Source organism: Homo sapiens, chromosome X (genome assembly GCF_000001405.40).
Source record: "Homo sapiens chromosome X, GRCh38.p14 Primary Assembly".
Classification (NCBI taxonomy): Eukaryota; Metazoa; Chordata; class Mammalia; order Primates; family Hominidae; genus Homo; species Homo sapiens.
In genome coordinates this window covers 45,505,020-45,527,480 of record NC_000023.11, presented here as the reverse complement: position 1 = coordinate 45,527,480, position 22,461 = coordinate 45,505,020, and the positions used below count along the sequence as shown (strand labels likewise).

The following is a 22,461-nucleotide window of genomic DNA, read 5'->3' as shown; positions in this document are numbered from 1 at the left end:
GTGTGTGTGTGTGTGTGTGTGTGTGTGTGTGTGTGTGTGATAGCTCCCCTGATTTCCATCTGGACATATAACTACTCAAAATAATGACTACATTTCTCTTCTCTTGAAGCTAGGCATGGCCAAGTAGGTAAGTTGTGGCCAAAAGAATGCAAACAGAATTGGTATGTGCAACTTGCAGGAAGTGTTCTTAAAATAAAAGCAAGCGCTTCATCAGTCATTCCTTTTTTTTTTTTTTTTTTTTCTTCCTGACTGGATGGGGATAGGAAACTCAAGAAACCATTTTAGACCATAAGAAACTCAAGCAGTCATTATGGTTCATGTGATAAAGATGGCAAAGCCATAGATAAAAGAAACCTGGGACCCTGACACCATGGAGCCTCACATCAGCTACATATCAGGCAGACATTTTGTTTGAGGGAGTAAACATTGTATGTTTAAGCTACCACTCATTAGGGTTTTCTGTCACTCATAGTTGAACTGAATTTTAACTTATATAATGTGTGCCTTCCTACCTGTAAATTCATTCAGCCTCCCAAGTAGCTGAGATTGCAGGTGCCTGCCACCATGCCCGACTAATTTTTGTATTTGTAGTAGAGATGTGGTCTCACCATGTTGGCCAGGCTGGTCTTGAACTCCTGACCTCAGGTGATCCACCCACCTCGGCCTCCCAAAGTTCTGGGATTACAGGCGTGAGCCACTGTGCCTGGCCTAATTTCTTTTTAATAAATAGAGGTTTAATAATTAAAAGACAGTCTTTGCAAAGTCCATTTGTTGTTCTGCTAAAATCTAAACATTTGCAAAGTGGTGTGCAGTATCTGGATTCCCTAAAACACATTGATCCCACTCAATATTAATCTTTAGAAAGATTTATAGACCTTTTAGAAAGTGCTATATCTGGCCAGGTGCGGTGGCTTACACCGGTTATCCTAGCACTTTGGGAGGCCAAGGCGGGTGGATCACGAGGTCAGGAGATCGAGACCATCCTGGCCAACATGGTGAAACCCCTTCTCTACTAAAAATACAAAAATTAGCCGGGCTTGGTGGCGTGCACCTGTAGTCCCAGCTACTCAGGAAGCTGAAGCAGGAGAATAGCTTGAACCTGGGAGGCGGAGGTTGCAGTGAGCCAAGATGGCGCCACTGCACTCCAGCCTGGGTGACAGGGCGAGACTCTGTCTCAAAGAAAAAAAAAAGAAAGTGCTATATCTCTGTGCTTCCCCACCTCCTAAATGTGTAAAGAAAAAGCTACCAAACCACAAAAGTAAGTGAGGAAGTAAGTATATTTGATAAAGTGGTTTGAAATTCCCATTCCAAGGAAATTTCTTAATGATATATATTGTTAAGGCTATCAAGCACTTTCTACATAGCAGGTATCATGCTAAGCAATTCAAGTGGATATTTCAATTAATCCTTACAACATCCTTGGGTCTGGTGCCTTACACCACTCAGCCATCCTGACACTAATCTTTACAACATCCTTGGGAAACACATGCTATGATTACCTGCACTTTTAAAACTGAGAAATTAAGGCTTAGAGAGATTAGGTAAAAATGTAAAAGCCAGGTCTCTAACCCAGGTCAGTATAGCCTCAGGTCTTAACTAGAGCCTCTACTAAATGTGATTGTATTCATTTGATAAAGAAGTTGCTTTGTAACAGTTTTAATGCAGAAAGATCAAGTGAGACTAGCTCTCATCTGTATATGAAAATTCCCTTGATCATAGGCTGGTGTTCTTGATTAAAACATGTAGTTGGGGGCATTTGCCCCACATACCTCCATTTTTATATCCTTCCCAAGTTCTCTGAACCCTTCTCCACTCCCCACCATCCCTCATTAGCTACAACAAATCAATGAGTGAAAAATTTGTCAATTTACCAAATTACTTCAAAACTTGTTTTATTTAACCATTTATAAAATTTATAGCAAATAAGCTGTATAGTTTTAACAGCTTTGGGAGATTTTTGTGCACTTGGTTTTGGCACAAAGATTTAATTGAATCTAGTTTCAGCTTTTCTGCAGCTGTTTTGCCACTGCCTTTCACCATGGATAGCTAAAGTTTAATGTATTCTAGATTTTTCAATACTTTGGATATATGACCTTTTAAATAGAGAATTACTTGTGTATTTCAAATTACAAATGTTACACATATCTCAACTATCAAGAATTTCAGAACCAAGGTAGAGGGTTTTGTTCATCCAATATATTACAAATTCAGTCCTTAGAATTTTGTAATTATTTTAATTCATAGATTTTTTTTCAAACTGACTTGATAAAACGAATATGCATGTATTTTAGTCAGTGTCAAGAACTGGGAAGCGTCCAAGATTTTACCTCACTTGTAATCTAACAATTTAGCCTCATAATTTCATGGGTGCCAGCAGAAGACACAAGACTTCTAGGTCAGAAACAATTTATTACTCATAGAAATAGCAGTAGCTAGACTATCAGAATTTCTATGAAGGTTCCCTGAGCTCCAATTCCCACAGGGTAATGGGAAGAATGCCAGGTGATACCTGCACACACAATGGGTTGCATTACAGAAGAATTCCGAGCTTAGGGAACTTGAATCTTTTAAAATGGAAAGTAGCATTTATGCCCTTCGCTCAGGAAGAAGACACTGTTCACTATATGAGTATTCTTGAAAATAGAGTCCAGAAGATAAGAGAGTCTTGTCTTGCTTACAAGTTGTGCAGAAACATGAGAGAGCTGTGGAAATTGTCTCCCAATAGGCAGTTGAAGAGTACTTGATGTCTAAAATGTGAATCACACAGAAAATAAGGTTCAATTGAGTTGAACTGACAAATCTATTGCAAAAGGGCTATGGTAAAATGGCTGCAGTAAATTAAAAATGAAACCTAAGCTGATCTATACTAACTAAAATAAAACATTTGAAAAGCTTCAGTGGCTGGTGAACTGTCTCATTCAACATAAATTGCTACAGATTTTATACTGGTAAACAGAAACAATGTTTGGTGACTAAGTAATACTACAATTGGCAATTTATCATGCTGGCCATTCTCCAAGTTGAGTAGATTTTTTGGCAAATGGATCTTTGTTTGAATTGGCCTGCTTCCTAGGCTCATGTTCAGGGTCCTACTGCTTATTAGATTTCAGTTACAGCTAGCTATAAGCTAAGGTGCTAACTGAAAAGAACATAGTTTTTTTTCCCTTTTCAAGAATACGTATTTTAACAAGAAATCTGACAAATCGACAAGGTCTTCCCAAAGTAACTCATCTATATTATCACATTTTCTAGCTCTTGATGAATGCATATTTGAGCACATGCTACCTTCCCCAAATCTCACACATAGATTACCATTTTTCAACCTGATTGATTATTGACTTTTCCACTTTGATCCAATTGATTCTGACTTCACTTCTTGTCCAGCTTAGCTCCCTCCGTTCATTACTATATAAATTCATATACATTCTCTTGGAAATTCTGTTATCTCCTTTGCTTCTCTCTCCCTTACTCCAAATGGTAAGCACTGGAAATTTTCAAACATTTGCCCACTTTGTGCCATACCCATGCAGCTAAACTTTGCTAGGGAACTACACTACCAGACAAATTGGTATGCTTATAAGTTGATGCATATCAACCCCAAATGGGCATTTGATACTACCTGGCAGTCTTACAGAAAATCTTACATTTCTCTCCTCAAACTACTTTCCCACTGCCCACAAGGATATTTCACACTTTATCCACTCCAAATTTCCTGTTCCTCCTCTTCCTCCTTAAAAGGGCTGCATTATGATTTTTGTGGGCCCTGGATACTTCTGCCTTCATGGGTCCCTTCCTCTATTAAAAAATACTAAAAATTATGTTTCATCATCAAGTTGTTATAAAGACAAACACAATCCAAGTGTGATTTATTATTATGTATTCATTGTTACAATATTCATTTTTTCCTCCTGATTTCAAAAGAAATTAAAATTAAAACATTTTTCATGGGCCCTTGAAAATATTGTGGGTCCCAAGCAGGCACTTAGACTACTATGCTTAATGGAATAAGCCAGTCTTGCTCCCAACACCTTTTCATCTGATGACCTTGCTTTTTACTCTATTTAGAATATAGATTAAATATTCCTCATCTTGGCATGTGGAGCCTGGGAGTGAAACCTGGGCAGAGGATGTGAAATGGGAGTTGTCTCTATACAGCAGGATTTCTCAACCTTGGCACTATTGACATTATGGGCTGAATGAGTTCTTGGGAAGACTCATAAGAAAGAAGAGAAGAAGATATTAGTGAACCCCAACATGTGAGGGACTGGCAAAAAGAAAGTAGCCACCAGAGAATACTATCCTACTCTTAATCTGGAGTAGACGTGATTTAGTTAGGAAGACTCCAATGTCTACAACCTCTTAGTGAAACAGCTGAACAAAGGATTTTGTAAAACCAGTTACCTGGGCCATCGCAAAGGTGGAAATGTTCCCCACACTCAGGGTGATTTGATGCATCCCTGTCTAACAATGAAGGGTTGGCATAGACAACCTCTGAGAATTTGCCTAAGTCCCTGAGGTTCTGTGAGATAGTTCTAATCATTATAAACAAGAGCCAGATACTATAAAACCATAGAGCTTCTTGATTCTTTTAAAAAATTAAAGGCCAGATGTATGACTTTTGTGGGTCACGTAGAGTTGTGCAGACACAACATTCTTTGCCAAATCCTGCATCCTCTCAGGTGTTACTTCCCAATATACCTTTTGCCCTTCTAATTCAATTTCAGCATCTGCTTCTCAGAGAATCCAGCTAACACAGGAGTATAGTTTATTTCTTCTTTCCACAATATGAAAAAATATAAAATGTAGTTTATCCTCAATTCCTACATCATAACCCATAATCCTGTTTATACACATGAACACATGCAAAAGATGCTTCATACAGAATAATGCACAGTTGTTTTTTTTTTTTACTTCAGACAAGTAGCACAGGTATGCTTTCAAAAGGCAGAGAACTGTAGTCCTTTGTTTACATATCTTACTACCTACCACGTTATATTTTTTTCTGACATGAATAGTGTTTACCTTCACTTCTGTTCAAGTCTCCTAATGAGATGACTAAACTCATTGCTAACATTCAAGGAAGACTGTGTTTGTGGTGAATGAACCAGACCCTGTGGTCCCCTTAGGGTCTCAATGCCTGTTCACTTGAATAGGGGTAATTCATCAGTGGTGCCACAAACAGGATTGCTGTGCATGATGTAGTCAGGTGTGCCCGTATACACTGTGGACAGGGCTGGACTCAGCAGCCCTCTTTTGGCCAGAGCTGCAAACTGGCCAGGGCCACAGCAATGCTAGATGGCTAGATTTTGCATAGCAAAGAGTACCTTTTTACCATGTTCCCTTTAAATCCTTGAAATACTGGGGAATCTTGTGCTTACTAATCTTACAGTTGTAAAGTCCAACAGGTATGTTAATCAAAAGGTGCTAAAAGTTTATCCAAGATAAACTGTCTATCTTGGATTTCATTGGCATTTTAAAAAATACTGTTTCAACTGTAAAGTGGGCAGAATTCTAGGATGGCCCCCATGTTCACCCTGTATAATCTCCTCCCCTTGAGTGCAGGTGGAACTGGTGACTTGTTTGTAACCAACAGAATATGGCAAAGATGATGGTATGTCCCTCATGTGATTACCTTATGATTTGTATAGAAGTCTTTGAGTAGACTCGCTCTCCACTCTCCTGATGCCCTTGAAGAAGAAAGCTCCTGTGAGCTTAGCCACAAGAAAATGAATCCTTCCAACAACCTGAGGGAACTTGGAAGCAGATCCTCTCCTAGTCGAGCCTCTGATGAGAACTCAGTCTGGCTGACACCTTGATCGTAGCCTTCTGAGAGGATCCAGCTAAGCTGTGACTGGAATCCTGACTTATGGAAGCTGTAATATAATAAATAAGTATTGTTTTAAGCTGCTAAATTTGTGGCAATTTGTTCCACAACAATACAAAACTAATACAAACTGTATCTTTATTTTAAATTCTTCTTGCTTTTTTTTTTTCTTTTACCTCCCTCGCTGTCTATTGGAGATTGTAAATCTCATTTTTTGTTTGTTTCAGAATAAGCCTTTTCAGTGTAACATTTTGATGGAAAGGAATTATATTTTAATAATTTTTCTCAAACTAGCAATAAAAAATGTGAAATATTCAAATCCTTTACTATCACGAAACTGTTTTAGTAAAGTTCAAAAGCTTACTAGTCAGAATAAATTGGTCTTATTCATATTTCACATTGACATTCCGTTTGACCTCTGTCTCCTAAATGTTTCATTTGCATTCACTGATGAAAAACAAAGACCCCACCCCCTCCCCCCAAAAAATCTGAACAGTATAAAACAGACTTTAGCTCATGGCTGATTTTAGTCCAAACATTTCAATAGTATATTTTCACTGAATTGCCTATTAAATTATATTTCTTAAGGGAAGTAGAGGATAATTCAAACATTTAAAAATGACTGTTACACTGATTATTATGTAAGTAGCTGAGTTTGGTATTTTAGTGATACAGAGAAGAAAATCAACTGAGAGATAAATCTTTTCATGGTGGTTTCATGCTTTATATCTCTCAGGGGAAGCCTGCCATGTTATTTTATTCACAAAATCATTTTCCAGAGTGACCTTTTGGTATATTTATTTTATTGCTCCTGATAATGTGTAATAAACACATTTCGATATTTTTTCACATATGGTAAAGTGATCTTTGTCTATCATTTGAAATTAAAATTATTATCCAAATTTCATTTGAAAGAGTGAGCGTATTCATTCAGTAAGCAGCATAAAGGGACATAAGGCATAGTGTAGGGCAAACTAAAGAGGTTTGATATAAATTACAAATGTTCTGCAATATTTTCATAAGTCTACAAGAGCGAATGTCTTATCTCCTTAGTCTGTTTTTTTTCCTTCTTTTTTAATAGAAAGTAGATGGTTCACTATGCTAACTTAGTAAAAATATCTCAACATGCCCACAATTGTAAAACTACTGTAGAGTGAGTTAGCATATATCAGTTAACATCATCTTTTTGTAGCATCTGAGATGCATCCTTCTTTATCAAGGGAAGCATATATGCCTTAGAAAAATATACTTTAAATGAGAGAAAATTGTACAGCAAAGAAAATATTGCATCAAAGAATGGCTTAGAATAAAACTGTTTTAGAAAAACTTTAAGGTAGTATGCATGTTCTCACTCATAAGTGGGAGTTGAACAATGAGAACACATGGACACAGGTAGGGGAACATCACATGCTGGGGCCTGTCGGGGGCTGGGGGGGCAGGGCAAGGGGAGGGAGAGCATTAGGACAAATATCTAATGCATGCGGGGCTTAAAACCTAGATGACGGGTTGATAGGCGCAGCAAACCACCATGGCACATGCATACCTATGTAACAAACCTGCATGTTCTGCACATGTATCCCAGAACTTAAAGTAAAATACAAAAAAGAAAAAAGAAAAGGAAAAACTACAAGGTGGTAGACCAGGGGAGGCTGAGAAGAAGAGGGAATGCTATTACATGGGGAAGACTTCTAAGATGATTGAGAGGTTTGAAGGTTTTAGAGAGGATCTAGAAGATAAAAGATATTAAAGCAAGGTAAAATAGTATAGGTGAACAACAAAAAAACTAAAAGAATTGCAATTTTTGGCCAAGCATGGTGGCTCATGCCTGTAATTCCAGCACTTTGGGAGGCTGAGGCGGGCAGATCACAAGGTCAGGAGATCGAGAACATCTTGGCCAACATGGTGAAACCTGGTCTCTACTAAAAATACAAAAATTAGCTGGGTGGGGTGGCGTGCACCTGTAATCCCAGCTACTTGGGAGGCTGAGGTAGGAGAATCACTTGAACTGGGGAGGTGGAGGTTGCAGTGAGCCAAGATCGCGCCATTGTACTCCAGCCTGGGCGACGAGAGTGAAACTCCATCTTAAAAAAAAAAAAAAGAATTGCAATTTTTTTAACCTTAGAAGAAATGAACAAATTGTTCATAGTATGGAGGTAAAAATGTCAGCTGTGTTTTCCCTTTCATACAGTCTAAGAATTCCTTCAAAGATCATTTTAGATTTAAAGATATGTTAATAAACACATGTCATAATTTGCAGCCATCCAGACCTTTGGAACACCTGAGTTTGAGGAATGGCTCACCTTATGAGCTTTGCTTTCCCAACACAGGAGTCCCAAACTCACTTTCCCAGCCTTTCTTGAAGCTAAGGTGTAAATATTTGTATTAGACTCAGCCAATGAGGTGCACTCACATGAGTTTAAAAGAGACAAATATGAGGAAACAGACACTGTGGAGTCTCTAAACTCTGTGGAGTCTCACCAGTCTCTAAAGAAAATGATGGCAGAAGCAATGACTTTCAGGGGCAGTGATGGCAGCAGTTCAGCATCCATGTCCAGGATCAATGGGACAATTTGTGGTGTCTGTGCCCAGTGGTCACAATGGTGGCATCCTTTCTGGACCCATCCTGCAGCATCATTTTGGTGTTGTGCCTTCCCATATATCTTTGAGGCTGGTCTGTTCCTCCAAGAGGTTCTATTGAGACATCTAATAATATATGTTAGACATATTTTCTGCCTAACCAACCATAGTAAGTTCTGATGTTTGCAACCAAGAACCCTGACTGATGTGAATCCCTTTCTAAAGAGAAGAGCTATGAAACCCTAGATACAAAGGAATCATTAAGAGAGAGCCTTTCTAAAATTATTGCAATGTTACTTAATCCAGAGTCAGAAAAAATAGCACCCTGGGGATGTTCTTTGCAACTTTGTAATGTACTGAAAAATTGGGAAATTGAAACACCACGAATGAGTACACTAGGATAAGATAAGCAGAATACTAAACAGTTAATAGCTTCTGTTTTATTAGATGGGGGGAAATCTACTTTAAAACACAATCACATATAGTCCAGTGGGAGTAAGAAGTAGTGGAAGTATAAATGAAACTAAAGTTGTAGAATGTGGATAATTACGGAATCTGGGTAAGGGATATTCTATTTACTTTATGTGTTTGAATTTTTTCTTTAAAAACGTTTAAATAAAAAATCATAAGTTAAGGAATTAACATTAATCGGGAAAAATATATGCTTCCTTATTTATCTTTTAAAATGAGAAAGAGAAGCAAGACTAAGTATTGTTTAGAAATTTGGCTATCAGTGTCTGCCAAAGCAATAGAACTGAGAAAAACTTGTAAAAACAAAAGATAAGGACAGACATAGTGGATATGACTACTTTTTAGGTCACTTTTTCCCTAGGTTTTTCAGGAATTGCTTATTAATGTAGTCTACAAGTATTTTTATTAGTGCCTGCCACGTGTTGGCATTGTTCAAAATGCTTGGGATATATCAGGAAATAAAATAAAGATCCTTGCCCTTTCCTAAATTTTTTTCTATATGTATTACCTAATTTCAATAACAGATTTTATACATACTTCAGTTTACAAGCCTAGTTATCTAATTTTTAAAATTTAAAACTGTCTTCTGTTTTCATAGTTTAGGATCACAAGATTTTACAGCTGAAAGGAAGTTTAGATTTCATAAAGTACAACTCCTAATTTTCTTATAATTCACAATAATATTTTGCCTTTGTAAAATCCTTTATAATTTATGATATGTCTTCTTGAGACCTGGAGAGGATAAGTGACTTGCCAGGTTTATACTACCTGTTAGTAGCTGAACAAAGACCTTCCAATTTGTGTTTTGGTACCCTTTCTGCTACACCAAACTTTGCTTGTTTCAATGTAACGGTTGTGGTTGACTGGAAAGATTTTAACCTAAAAATGCTACCATTTATACATCCTAGGTCTGTTCCTCTTGACTCCCTTGCTCTCTGTGCCCCTTCTTCTCCCTCTCTCATTGGCTGTAACCCGATCCTACAAATGACTAATATGTGTCTTTCTCTTTGGCACTAACATTCTTGCATGCTGCCATTCCTTAACCATTGTTCAGCTAGGCTCTCCTAATACAGAACCTTTAATCTTTTTTGATAACATTCTCTCTTCATTACTCTAAATAACTTGTCAGGACCTTTTTTTTTCATCTTCCAGTTACCTACATGTTTCAGATGGCTAGGTACTCAACATAAACAAAGAATGGAGGCCCCACGGCTGACAAGTGTACTGCTGTATTTAATTACTTCCAGGTTCTCTGCTACTCCTTAGCTTCATAGAGTATGCCCCCATCTCATGCAGCACCAAAGAGCATTTTTTAAATTCACTGTGTTATATATACTCACGAGTTTCTGTTCATCATACCACTAGAGTCTAAGGTCTCCTAGAAAATATTTGAGGTTCAAGCCACAACAAAAGTGCTTCCAACTACTAAGTTTTAACATAATCTGCTAATCAGTTACTGTTTAGCCACTTGATCTCTCTCTCACTGTCTCTCTCTCTCTCGTGTGTGTGTGTGTGTGTGTGTGTGTGTGTGTGTGTAAAGTGTCACAGTGTTTAGGTTATCTATGTTTTGGGGAAAACGTCATAGTGGCTTAAAATAATTTACAGATGCTTCTTGACTTACCATGGGGCTACATCTGGATAAACCCATTATAAGTTGAAAATGTACTTTTGACTTGTAATATTTTAAACTTATGATGGGTTTATTCAGACTTAGCCCCAAGATAAGTCAAAGAGCATACTGAATGTGAATGATTGTGTCCCATCTTAAAGTTGAAAAATCATGAGTCAAACCACCATAAGTCAGGGACCGTCTGTATTATTATCTGTCATGGTTGTATGGGTTGACTGGGCTCAGCTAGGTAGTTCTTGGGTTCTCTCAGGTGGTTGCAGTAGATGGCGGCTGGAGTCATCAGAAGACTCAACTAGGCTGGATGTTGAAGATGGCTTCTTTAGTCACATCTTGTTCAACAGCCTGAAACACCTAGGGGCTTGCCAGGAATTTCTCTCTCCATGCAGTCTCTTCATGTGACATGTGGCTCCCTCAAAACATAGAGGTCTCAGGGTAGTCAGACTTCCTACATGGCAGTGGGTTTCCTCCAGAGCACGTGTTCCAAGAGACCCAGGTGAAAGCTCAAAGACTTCTTTTGACTTCAAAAGGAGGATACTACACAAAGGGGTAAATATTGGGAGGTGCAGTTCATTGGTGGGGGGTGGAGATGAGGGAGAAATCTTCGGTGACTAGCTATCAGATGAAGGAAAGTAGAATCTGCAGCTAAAAATCAAGTTATCTGTTAGTCCACCTGACTGGCAGGGCTCTATTTTTAAAACAAGTACAATTGCCTGTAATACAGCCTTTATTTTTTGGTGTAGCAGATCTGGAGTTTCTTTTAATTAAACAAAAGAGAAAAAGAAAAACTTTGAACGTAAATGACTTGTATCTCTTTAAACTGTATTTAATCTCTTATTTATTAGAGCATATGACAGCTCTGTTGATGGCTGGAGGCAGACCTGCAAACATTCTGGGGCTGACAAGCCAAAACAGGTGAGCCCATCTTCTGTGATTCACCTTGGTAGAAATGATTACTACCCAGCTCCGGGCCGGCAGACCACCTGCTCCCTTTCACCCACACAGGCTTCCCCACAGCCTGAAATATACCCTGTATCCTTTCAGAGATGGTGGATTGAACATGTGTGGAGAGACATCCAAACGCATTTTTTTTTTTCCAATGAGAGACATTTTGTGAAGTTTTGGCAGCATGCTGGCTGGCAAAGTAATCTGGCTGGCACACTCCTCCTGCATGGAGTTATGGCACTGCCACCTCTACTCTGGAGAGTTTCGAAATTTCATTTTGCACACCCTGTAAGATGTGAGTCACTCGGCTCGCAAAGGAGGATGAGGAGGAGGCGGCCATCTGCTAGTCATGAGCAGATGACAAATACCCTGCACTGCGAATTTCCATCCTCGTTTCACAATATTTAAGTAAACACATTTTGTAACCATTTTTCCCAGAGTTCCTTAGTGCTTAAGATGGATTTTTTTTTTTCAATAAACAATATATAAAAGCTGCTTTCTCTCCTCCAAACAACTGTATTAGCAAAGTGACATGAAGGCAACCATCACAAAGTGCTGTCTGTTGAATGACCAGAGCAAAAAGTATACTCATCTGAATTGAATGATTAAACCTCATGCAATTTCAGACCGATCCAGCTAAATTACCAGGTCCATGAGAGGCCGCTCCATCATGCACAGCTCCATGGTGACCTCTACTGTCTGCCTGCAAGAATCCCCAAACTATCTTCCATCAAAAACAAAGTTTCCAAATAATATCTATTTAACATTTCTTTGTGCTATGTTATGGGAAGGAAGGAAATTGAAGAAAGAAAAGATAGATGCTCTCCTCTTAAATTACGAGAGGCACGTTACATTCATAAAATAACTGGGAACTAATGCACGATCTAATTTTGTGTTCGCTTCAAGCTGTGCAACATGGCTTAATGCAGAATTTATTCATTCCTTCACCAATTTGATCTGAAGAAGCCAACAACAAAAAAATAGCCAAATAGAAATAGAAAATTAATATCAGGGAGAAAATTGACTGCATATGTGCAAACCAAAAAGGTCAAAGGAGCTTCAAATATGGCTCTGGGCATCCTAAAAGGCAGACGAAGAAGAAAAAAGTAGGATGTGTTGCCTAGACCTTGCTATCATGAAGAAGAAAGACTATCATTCCTTAAGTAGATATTTTTTCTTGGTATTAAATTTTGAATGAAATTCCTATGGGATATTTTGTGCCATATTCCAGGTGGCACAAGGGCTAGCATGCTCCTTAGAATTTGTACTGCTGCTGTAGAACTAGCAGGGCTGTTTCTTTTAACTTTGATGAGAAAAAAGTATATGCCATTGAGGAAGGAAATAAAATACATCCCTGCCGACAACCAGAGAGAGTGAGAAATGGTCCTGCTGGCAGCCAGACCATGATGTTCTCAACTAACATAAACAGTGCTGGGACAAGACCATTCCATGATCATATTTGGAACAAGATAAAGATAAAGCCACCCAGTAATCACAAAAATAACTAAACGTTCTCCTTCTCTGAATAACATGAGTGACTGCTGTTCCCTTACCTGTGACAGCTCCAGCCTTATTTGTTCTGTATAAAAACTATTGAGATGCCCAAACACAAAATTGCCCCTGCTTCTTGAGAGCGTCCAATCCATAATTGGTCCCTGCTTCCTAATTCCTCCTGAGAATCTTTTGGAGTAAGCCTAATCCCAATGAGGGGCCCCTGCCTGCTCCCTCTTTCCAAGGGCCTTAGGATTCCTCTGTATTCTCTCTTTTGTGGCAACTAGCTCAACAAACCTAATGTTTCTTAATACGATGTGTTTCTAGATGTCTTTCCTTGCTGGTCTTTCATAGTATGAAGCACCACACAGTGAAGGCGATTCTGAAAGGGATTAATATGGACCATTCAGTATGTCTATTCTCTGTCTCATTCCAGGACAGAGTACAGTGTGCTTAGTGGAAGAAAGAAATGGCTTTTCCCTTAGACACTGTAATTTTTAGTTTCTGGTCCAGATCCTTTTATTCCTTATATTTTTTTTCTATGAACTCCTCTCCCAGCTTCAGCGTCCTTTGGCTTCTAACAGCCCACACCAAACCTGGAGCCATCCCTCAGATACGGAGAACTGGAAATGCCTGGGAGTTTACATTCACCACCACCCCTTACCTTCAGGCTTTTGGCTGGTAACTGACTGGAATAGGAAAGCCAACACCCTCCAAGTTGAGTTAATTGAGTGTATAATGTACCCTGTTGAGCTCTCCTGCAGGATCAAGCTGAAGCTGAGACTTGCTTAGCTTCTTTCTCACCCCTGTCTTACTTCCCCCACTGCCTTACTGATCTCCCCTGGGGGCACGTTCTTAATAAATCATTGGCACAGAATTATTACTGCAAGCTCTACTTCTGCAGAACACAACCTATGATGCTCATCTAGCCATCACTGTATCCCTACAAAGTAGAAATCATATCATAATCTTTCAGATGAAGACAGAAAGGCTCAGAGAGATTGAAAGACCAGCCCAAGGTCACACAGTTGGTAAACAGTGGACTAGACCTAAAATCCTCACCTAGTGCCCCCATTTTTTACTATGCTTCATTGCCTGTCCTTTGGGGCCTGGCATCTGGCCTTATCTTCTGTCTGTGGGCCCTCAGAGGGAAGGTTCTGATGCCTGGGGAAGAAAGCAAGGACCCAAATGTCCTCTGCCAAGCATCTGATGCATAATGGAATGTTTATGCTGCCATCTGGGGCATGGTTTTCCTGTCCGCAGCATTCAGGCAAGGATTTATTGCCACTCCATTCTCCCTGATCGCTGAACAGATTGCCCCCTGTTGCTTGTGGCATGTAACTCCCCCTCTTCCAATCTACTGCCTCTCTCAGACTTCATGAGACAAACATAAAAGTCATGGCCTCAGGAGAATGCTTGATTTCTGTCCAGTCTGTCACACAGAAGCGTCATTGTTAAGTCCTGGGTGGCTCTTCCCACCTGTCATCCCAGAAAAATGGAGTCATCCCTGAGAACACTCCCATGCACAGTGACATTCATTATGAGGCTACCTTTTCAAATTAAGTTTGGCATTTGAAACGAATACTACTTACTACTCCCAAACCACTCACTGCTGAGGTGACTTTCCATCATGAACTTCCTCTCATCTCCACAGACAGTGCTTAAGAGAAGGGTGAGGGAACTTCAGCATCTGCCTCTCACATTCCATTGTCAGCCTCACTCAGGAGGGCCAGTCATTGGTGAAGGTGAGAGGTGGGAGGCAGGAAGGTTCACAGAATCTCAAGACTGGGGGGATCTTTAACCACAACTAAATTCTATCGTGATGCAGAAGCAGGCATCCTTTCAGCAGCAGACTAACCATGCAGAGTTGCTGCATGGGCTATGACTGAGCACCTTCACAGGCAATGAAGCCTGCTAGTAAGCTACACAGAGAGATTGTTCCCTACCTGTGCCAAGTCCCCGTCACTGACCATGGGGTCAAGCCTGAAGAAACTGGAAAGAAACAATGTATAATCAGGGAGACCAGGGAGAATGGAGTGGCGCACACTAGACAGAATGGGTTGAAAAACGTAAATGAAGGTGGGATGCATTTCACTTCCCTGATCCTTAATCTTAACCACCACATTTTTTTTTCTGAAAGTGTTTCCTTAAAATTTAAGTAGTACCTGGATTCACTTCACTTATTTAGCTTTATTACGTAAAGACAGCTTACATAAGAATAATTAATCTTTTTTTTTCCTAGTGAGTACCTGTGTTTTTTGGTTTTGTTTTGGTTTTTGGTTTTTTTTTTTTTTTTTTTTTTTACTTTAAGTTCTGGGATACATGTGCAGAACGTGCAGGTTTGTTACATAGGTATACATGTGCCATGGTGGTTTGCTGCACCTATCAACCCGTCATCTAGGTTTTAAGCCCCGCATGCATTAGGTATTTGTCCTAATGCTCTCCCTCCCCTTAGCCCCCACCCTCCGACAGGCCCCAGTGTGTGAAGTTCCCCTCCCTGTGTCCATGTGTTCTCATTGTTCAACTCCCACTTATGAGTGAGAACATCCAACCACCACATTGTACTACCTTTCTAGGGTTTTCATCAAAAAAGCTTATGTCTTTGATTACATAGGAATTCAGAGTTGGTTCTATGGGTGGGCAGAAGAGTAAGCATTCTGGGTAGAATCATTTGAAAGGCATTGGGGTCTATACCAGTGCCTGAAATTCCATCATTAGCTTCAATTTTTCAGGTAAGGTTTTGCTTCCAGAAAACTCTGACTAACATGAGGAAGGTGACATTAAAATCCATGATCATTGACGACCACAAAGCCCTGTGAGAATTTGCTTACCAGGTTAGAAAACACAAAGCTAGATCCAGAGAACAGTAGTTATTCAAGTTATACTGTTGTTATTCAATAACAGTAGTTATTCAACAGTAGTTATTCTTATATCAAGTGAGGATATAAGAAGATTTGTATTTTGAGGAGGACTCTGGTCAGAAAGCAGGGGATGGGGGCAGCATAAGGGGCCAAGGGCTAGTTGGAGAGCACAGGGTGACACCAATGCAGCAGACTTTCCATGTGCTGAGGCCCTTATAGCAAACACCTCCTCTCCAGGCAGCAACTACCCAGCCATGGAGCTTAAGAAAATGTCCTGTGGCCAAAGAGATGAAACTTGATCTGGAACCATATGCAAGGGAACCCCAGTTGCCCTCCTAGAAGCAACAGGCATATCCCCAAAACCCAAACCTCTCTTTCCTCCCAGAGTCCTTGGTTGGATCTCAAGGCAGATCTCCGTGCAGCACAAGGCCAAGTCCAGCCCCTCCAGTCACTCTCCAACTAGGCCTCTCCAATCCATCAGCCCTCATATCTCTTCTACTTAGTGCTGAAAGTAAAAGGCCAAGCTCTGGATTTAGTCCAAACTTACTGCCTAAAAAATTAAATGTGAGGTCCATGATTTGGGCTCAGCATTGACATAAAAAACAACATTCATGATAAAGCAGTCTCTAGTCCTGTTACCTTTATCATTCCCTGAAAATCCCACATAGGAAATGGTCTGGCTCTTAGCCCTGAAAGCAGGCTTTAGTGAGTCCCTAAAGCTGTAAATGTGAAATGGAGGGAAAAGGGGAGAAGGAGGGAGCAGAGTCTATAGAGGGTTACTTCTTCATCATCTTCCAAAGAAGCACATGGAGAAAATAGGTCTCTACTAATGTGGACAGCAAGAGATTTAAGAATTTAGGTCAGGCGACACCAGATTAGGGAGACCAAGGGTGTGTCTGTGTGTGGGTAGGGGGATAGGTATGGGTGTGCATATGTTGGAAAGAGCTCTGGAATATTAGTCAAAAACCTACCATGACTGGCTATATAGGCTTGATCTAGTCATTTCATCTCTCTGGCCTCAGTTTCCACATTCTTTACAAGGGGACAATACCTGCCCCAGCAACTTCAAAATTAAATGGAGTAACTCACCTGCAAGCTTAAAACATACTGGCATTTCCACAAATAAATGTGAGGCAACATCACCAGGAAATCTCTGGAAATAAGTGACTGACTAAATGAAAAGAAGCTCTGAAAAATGAAAATTAATTTAATTCAGTTGAAACAGTAGTAACATGAACAAGTATTTACTGAGCACTTACTGTGTATCAGGCATTTTTCTAAGTGCTGTACAAACATTACCTTATTTAATATGCACAACAAACCGACAAGGCAAAGACTATTATCATTTCCATGTTACATATTAAGAAACTGAGGCATAGAGAGATTAAGTAACTTGTCTAATATCTCACAGCTAATGAGTAGTAGAATCAATATCTGAACCGAGGCTTCCAGAGCTGGAACTGTGCTAAACTGTTTCTTCACAGGTGCTTAAGCCATCTGCAAGTATTATAGGAGTGGAGCACTAGCTAATAATAATAATAATGACAATTATTATTTTTACATGGTATATTTAGTGCTAGGCACTTCCTTCATTTTCTCATTGACATGCTAGCAAAAGACGTAATGTAGCAAAGTACATTATTCTTGGGGGTTTGTATCTGGCTCTGCCACTTACTAATCTGTAAAATGAAGATAATGTTAGTACTACTTCATATAGTTGTGATGAATTCGGTGAGTTATTATTTATAAAGCCCTTAGGATAACGCCTAGGATACAGTCAATCCTATGTGTGTTCATTAAATACATAAACAAATGCTAAATACATAATTGATAATTATATATATGATCAACTTACATTCATGCTTTGCTTTGTATGTTCTCTAAGAAGAAGCAGTGTGTATGGAGCTGATTACAGCCAGCTCTGTAGTTCATAGGTTGGCTAGAAGCTAGATGCTCAGCTTCACAATCCCCTCTCCTTTTCCCTCCCCACAGGCTGTGCTGTGGCTGCTGCTCCTTTGTCCCCTCCAGGGCTCTGTACCAGAGACTGCTGCCCTCCTCTCTCTCACCTGTTCTCCAAACTATGTAAAAGCAGCCACCATCAGCTCAACCTTCATCTAGGGGCTGCCTGTCCCTTGCCAGTATCCACCTCTGCTCTGAATCAGGAGAGCCCATGACAGGCTGAAGAGGCAGCAGAGTATGTTGGAAATGACTGGGGCAGTGTCTTCAATCAGCTAGGTTTTAGGAAAGGGTAAAAGAAAATAAATCACAAAAGATGCTACCTCCATCAATCTGGCATGGGGGCTAGGGAGACAGTGGTCAGGGAGATGGGGAGAAACAAAGGAAGACAGGAGGTACCACCAAAGCCATAAGGGACCAGAGGAAAATCACCCCCAAATGTTTCCCCAACCCCCTCCTGAACATACACATGCATCAGTCCTTCATGTAGAGGTCTGTGTTGTCTCCAAATCCCCCACCTGAAAATGAAGGGAACACCCAGGTTTCCCTGGAGAATCATCAGCTGAGGCCGTGTCTACACTCAGGGCTTGCCAAGAATATTCCCACAAAGCACAGCTCTCAAAAGCCTCTTCCAGTATATGTTCCCCAACGTATCCACTGAAGGGTAATAAAAGGGAAAGTGAAGGCTCTGACAAAATATTCATTAAAAGAAAATTTTACCTGCATGTGCGTGAACACACAATCCACACCCTATCACCACCAAAACTCAATTGACAGCCCAGATGTGAACCTTTAAAAGATGCTCCCCAACTGCTCACCCTCACTGTTGCCCCCACAGATGAGCTCTGGTGAATTTAACTTCCATCTTTCTACTTGAGACTCCCTTCTAGAGCTTTGTACCCCACCACTGAGAAGGAGCCTTCCTGCTTCCCAAGGACTGCCCTCCACCTGGAACTGCTTTCCCTAAATTGTTCCTGCCCCAGAACTTTCCATCATACCCAGTTTCAGTGAGGTGCGCCAGTCTATCCCACTGGGATTCATCCCACTGGGCCCTCAGCCAGGTTCTTCCTGCTCCATAAGATGATGACTAATTACCAAATGAAACAATTTAGGGAAAATCTGATACAGCCTATTGAGTTCCCCTTCCAGAGGCCCTGTATTTTCAATGGAGCCTCTGGAAGCTCCAGCATTTCATCTCAAGGAATATCTCAAGGGATAACTGGGATGGATTTCTGCTATGCATGTCATGTCACTGGAGTTCAAGTTTCCGGCCCTGTTCACTCACAGGCCCAACTTTGTGTATCTTTTGTGATTTGTTTCCTTTTGATTTCTCTTAAGGCTGGGCTCACAGAAGGCATCTTCCATCCTGATGTTCTACGGTATAGTGAATGGCAGGATTTGCTTTGTTCGTTGTTTGTCGTTCATATAAAGATAGAAGTTGCATTTCATATAGTCAGAGAATGAACTGCATACTCTTTTTTATTCCACTATTTTTGTTGGTGGTAGTAGAAAGGGTTCTTTTCTTCCTTCTCAGTATTGAATCTTATCTTGATCACTAACCAACTACGTGACTTCACTTCCACAAACTTCAGTTTCCTCATCTGCTAAGTGGAAATTTAGAATACCCATCTTATTCGATGGGAGAGGATTAAATAGATGCCTGCTACACAGTAGGTGCTTAATAAATAGTTGTCATATCCTGAGCCTTTAATGTCATGCCTGGCCCTTGTTGATATTCCATAATGCTTGATACATAAGGAATCCAGTGTTGGTGATGAAGATTTGTCTGACACTCATTAAAGTCATGGGCAGTATGCCAGCCTGCTTCTCACAAATAAAGTGTCTATACTGCCCTCAAGAACATGAATACTGGCCGGGCACAGTGGCTCACGCCTGTAATCTCAGCACTTTGGGAGGCCGAGGCAGGCGGATCATGAGGTCAGGAGATCAAGACCATCCTGGCTAACACAGTGAAACCCCGTCTCTACTAAAAATACAAAAAAAAAAAAAAATTAGCCGGGCGTGGTGGCGGGCTCCTGTAGTCCCAGCTACTCGGGAGGCTGAGGCAGGAGAATGGCGTGAACCTGGGAGGCGGAGCTTGCAGTGAGCCGAGATCGTGCCACTGCACTCCAGCCTGGGCGACAGAGCGAGACTCCATCTCAAAAAAAAAAAAAAAAAAAAAAGAACATGGATACTGTTCTATTCTCTAATGAGGGCATATTGTCCAGAGCCAGAGATAGGAACTAGAGTATTTCTCTGCCCTGATTTCCAGGAAAGGTGAACAACAACAGGGCTAATTATCTGGAGCTAAAGAAGAATTCTTTAGGATTTACAGGCAGAAGATTCATCTTGAAAAGACCTATTTCCATAATAGATTTTGCTTTATAAATGCCTTTTCAAAGGTTGCTATTTGACAGGAAAAGCTTTCAGCTTTCTTCTTCTTTTTTTTTCAGGCTTGTGACCTCTCACCTACTTTGAATGATTCACTCAGTCTATTCACTGCCCAGGAATGTTGGCTTTGGCAAAGAACCACAAGTCTCTTAAAATAAACACAACTGGGCTTTCATCTCATAGCGATCGCTGCTGGCTGCATATTTCACACACTGTATGGCAGGATATGTTAAATTAAAATCATAATCTCCCCAGTGAAATCTAGGGCCTGGTTAAGCCACTCGAGAATTACTCATGCATTAACTTCCAATGAAGAATATGAGTAATATCTTCAGCCATTAACTCTCCCAGGTAGTGGTCTCATCCTCTCCCAATTATCCTAACCCACAGTAAATTAAACCCATCCAGAAGAATGTCATTTGGAAAGGAAGAAGTCAATGCCAATGCTGTTTCAAATATGTAGGTCCTGGAGAGGTGAGCTTGAACTACCTTGTCAGTTCTCTCAATCATATCTCAAAGTTTAACTTAAATTTTGCTAAATCAATACACCCAATCCATATGGATTAACAATATGCTCAACATTGTGTTAAATGTTTTGAGTAGTTCAAAGAATATATGACACTGAGCCTTTAGCAGCTTAAGGTCTTCTAGGTGACGAACAAGATTAACACATCGAGAAAATAGTAACAGAGGCCAGGTACAAGACAGTGGTAAAGTGGAGAAAGCAAAGGCTTTTCTCAAGTGAGGTTCAGGGCCTGACTTCTCTCAACTGTGACTGCAGGGTAAATCTTTGGGCTTACATAGTATCTCAGTCCTAACTTTTAAAATGGAGGATGTTATACTAACTGGATTGACTTCACAGAGTAGTTGTAATGTTTAAATAAAATAAAGAAGATAAAATTGCAATGTACAATACCACTTTTTATAGCCTGTGATAAAACAAGTGGAACAACTTAAGAAATAAGTCCAAGAAGGTTATTTGTCTTCTGGGGTTGCCTTTAAATGGTAGTGAACAGATAAGACACAGGGCTATAAACTTCTTGAGGACCAAGGCCAAGGCCATTCCTTTTTGACTTTAAATGTTGTTCATACCCTGCTTAGTGTCAGGCACATAGTAAGTGCCTAATATATTTTTGTTAAGTGAATGAATAAATGAATTCTGAAGTGCAGTTAAATTAAATTTGTGTATATTACAGTAACACAAGAGGCCCTCCTTTGGGGCTTCCCAGAGTTTTCTCCTCATTTATATTACCTGAAGAATTTAAGAGAAGTAAAATCCTAATGCTTTACAAGAGCTTTTGCCCTGTGGGCTTTCTTGAGTGATTGCTAACAACGTATCCCTGGACACCACTGAAATGAGCTTTTCTGGGCCCATCCAAAACACAGCCACAGAAAAGTGTTTGTAAGGCCCCCCTGCCCCAAATCCATAATGGGAAGATATTATGAAGAGCCCTTTGTGCTTCAGTTTAGCCCAGTGGCTAAAACAAGACTGAAAATGCACTAAGCTACGAGTGGCTGAAGATATACACCCCACTGTATAAAAACAAAATGAAAGAACAATATCTGTCTGCAAAGAGGCTCATCACCCAGTTCATGGGCACATGCCCCAGGAAGTCACAGAGAGAGGAGCATTGGCCCATCATGCATGAGATTCACTACGTTGCTTCAGAAAACAACAACAACAAAATACTTACAGTATTAAAACTGCTATTTTTCCTTCTCATAAATGAAATCTTCATGAAATGTGGTATTTCCTCTAAACCATGACAAAGGGAAACAGATATACACCATGTAGGAAATGACAGACTTTGGAGAAACAGGAAAACATAAAGTACCTTAGAATGGAATGAATTTCTGATAAGGAAGCATTACCTTCATCAAATGAAACACAAAGCAGCAAGTCTTTTCCCCAGCAACAAGCAAGCTAAAATGTGGGCACTCCCTGGGGTGACATTGTGTTATGATGATCTTGCCCTATGGGAGAGCTCACAGCACAAGCAGGCACTTGTGAATCACACTGTGGTCGGAACAGAGGCTCAGAGAAACATGTTTATCTTCCCCACTTTCCTACTTGTGTGCATCTTGCACCTGTCTCTGTACATATGGGGTTGATTCTTCTCTTGTTTATTGGGTTTGGGGACTTAACATCCCTGTGTGTGTATTTATGTCTTTCCCATTTCTGCAATGAGGTTGTAAGATCAAGATTTTTGTTCTTCATTCTCTAAATTTCTATAGTACTGTTCTACATCTAGTACTATCAATGAAAGTACTGTAAGATAGAGGAATCATCCTATCAGTTTGGATCCCAATAGAAAACA

The 22,461-nt window shown here is 40.1% G+C and overlaps 1 long non-coding RNA gene across 2 annotated transcripts, besides 1 other annotated feature; it reads right to left on the bottom strand.

Annotated features, from left to right (window-relative positions):
• Positions 1 to 241: 241 nt before the first annotated feature.
• On the bottom strand, positions 242 to 22,093 carry LINC01204 (long intergenic non-protein coding RNA 1204). 2 transcript variants are annotated; one of them, NR_104644.1, is made up of 4 exons: positions 22,016 to 22,093; positions 16,886 to 16,984; positions 5,633 to 5,873; positions 242 to 2,747 (listed from the first exon to the last, which is right to left on the bottom strand). It is a non-coding gene; the product is annotated as a long intergenic non-protein coding RNA 1204 (long non-coding RNA). The 2 variants fall into 2 exon arrangements; NR_104645.1 differs by lacking the exon at positions 242 to 2,747 and having other exon boundaries at positions 3,837 to 5,873.
• Positions 19,788 to 20,987: an enhancer, noted in NCBI's record as "P300/CBP strongly-dependent group 1 enhancer chrX:45365739-45366938 (GRCh37/hg19 assembly coordinates)". NCBI's record gives its function as "activates an origin of replication core promoter dependent on BRD2, BRD4, P300/CBP, MED14 and CDK7 cofactors, with strong dependence on P300/CBP, by STARR-seq in HCT116 cells {active_cell/tissue: HCT116}" and the evidence as "EXISTENCE:reporter gene assay evidence [ECO:0000049][PMID:35650434]".
• Positions 22,094 to 22,461: the final 368 nt, after the last annotated feature.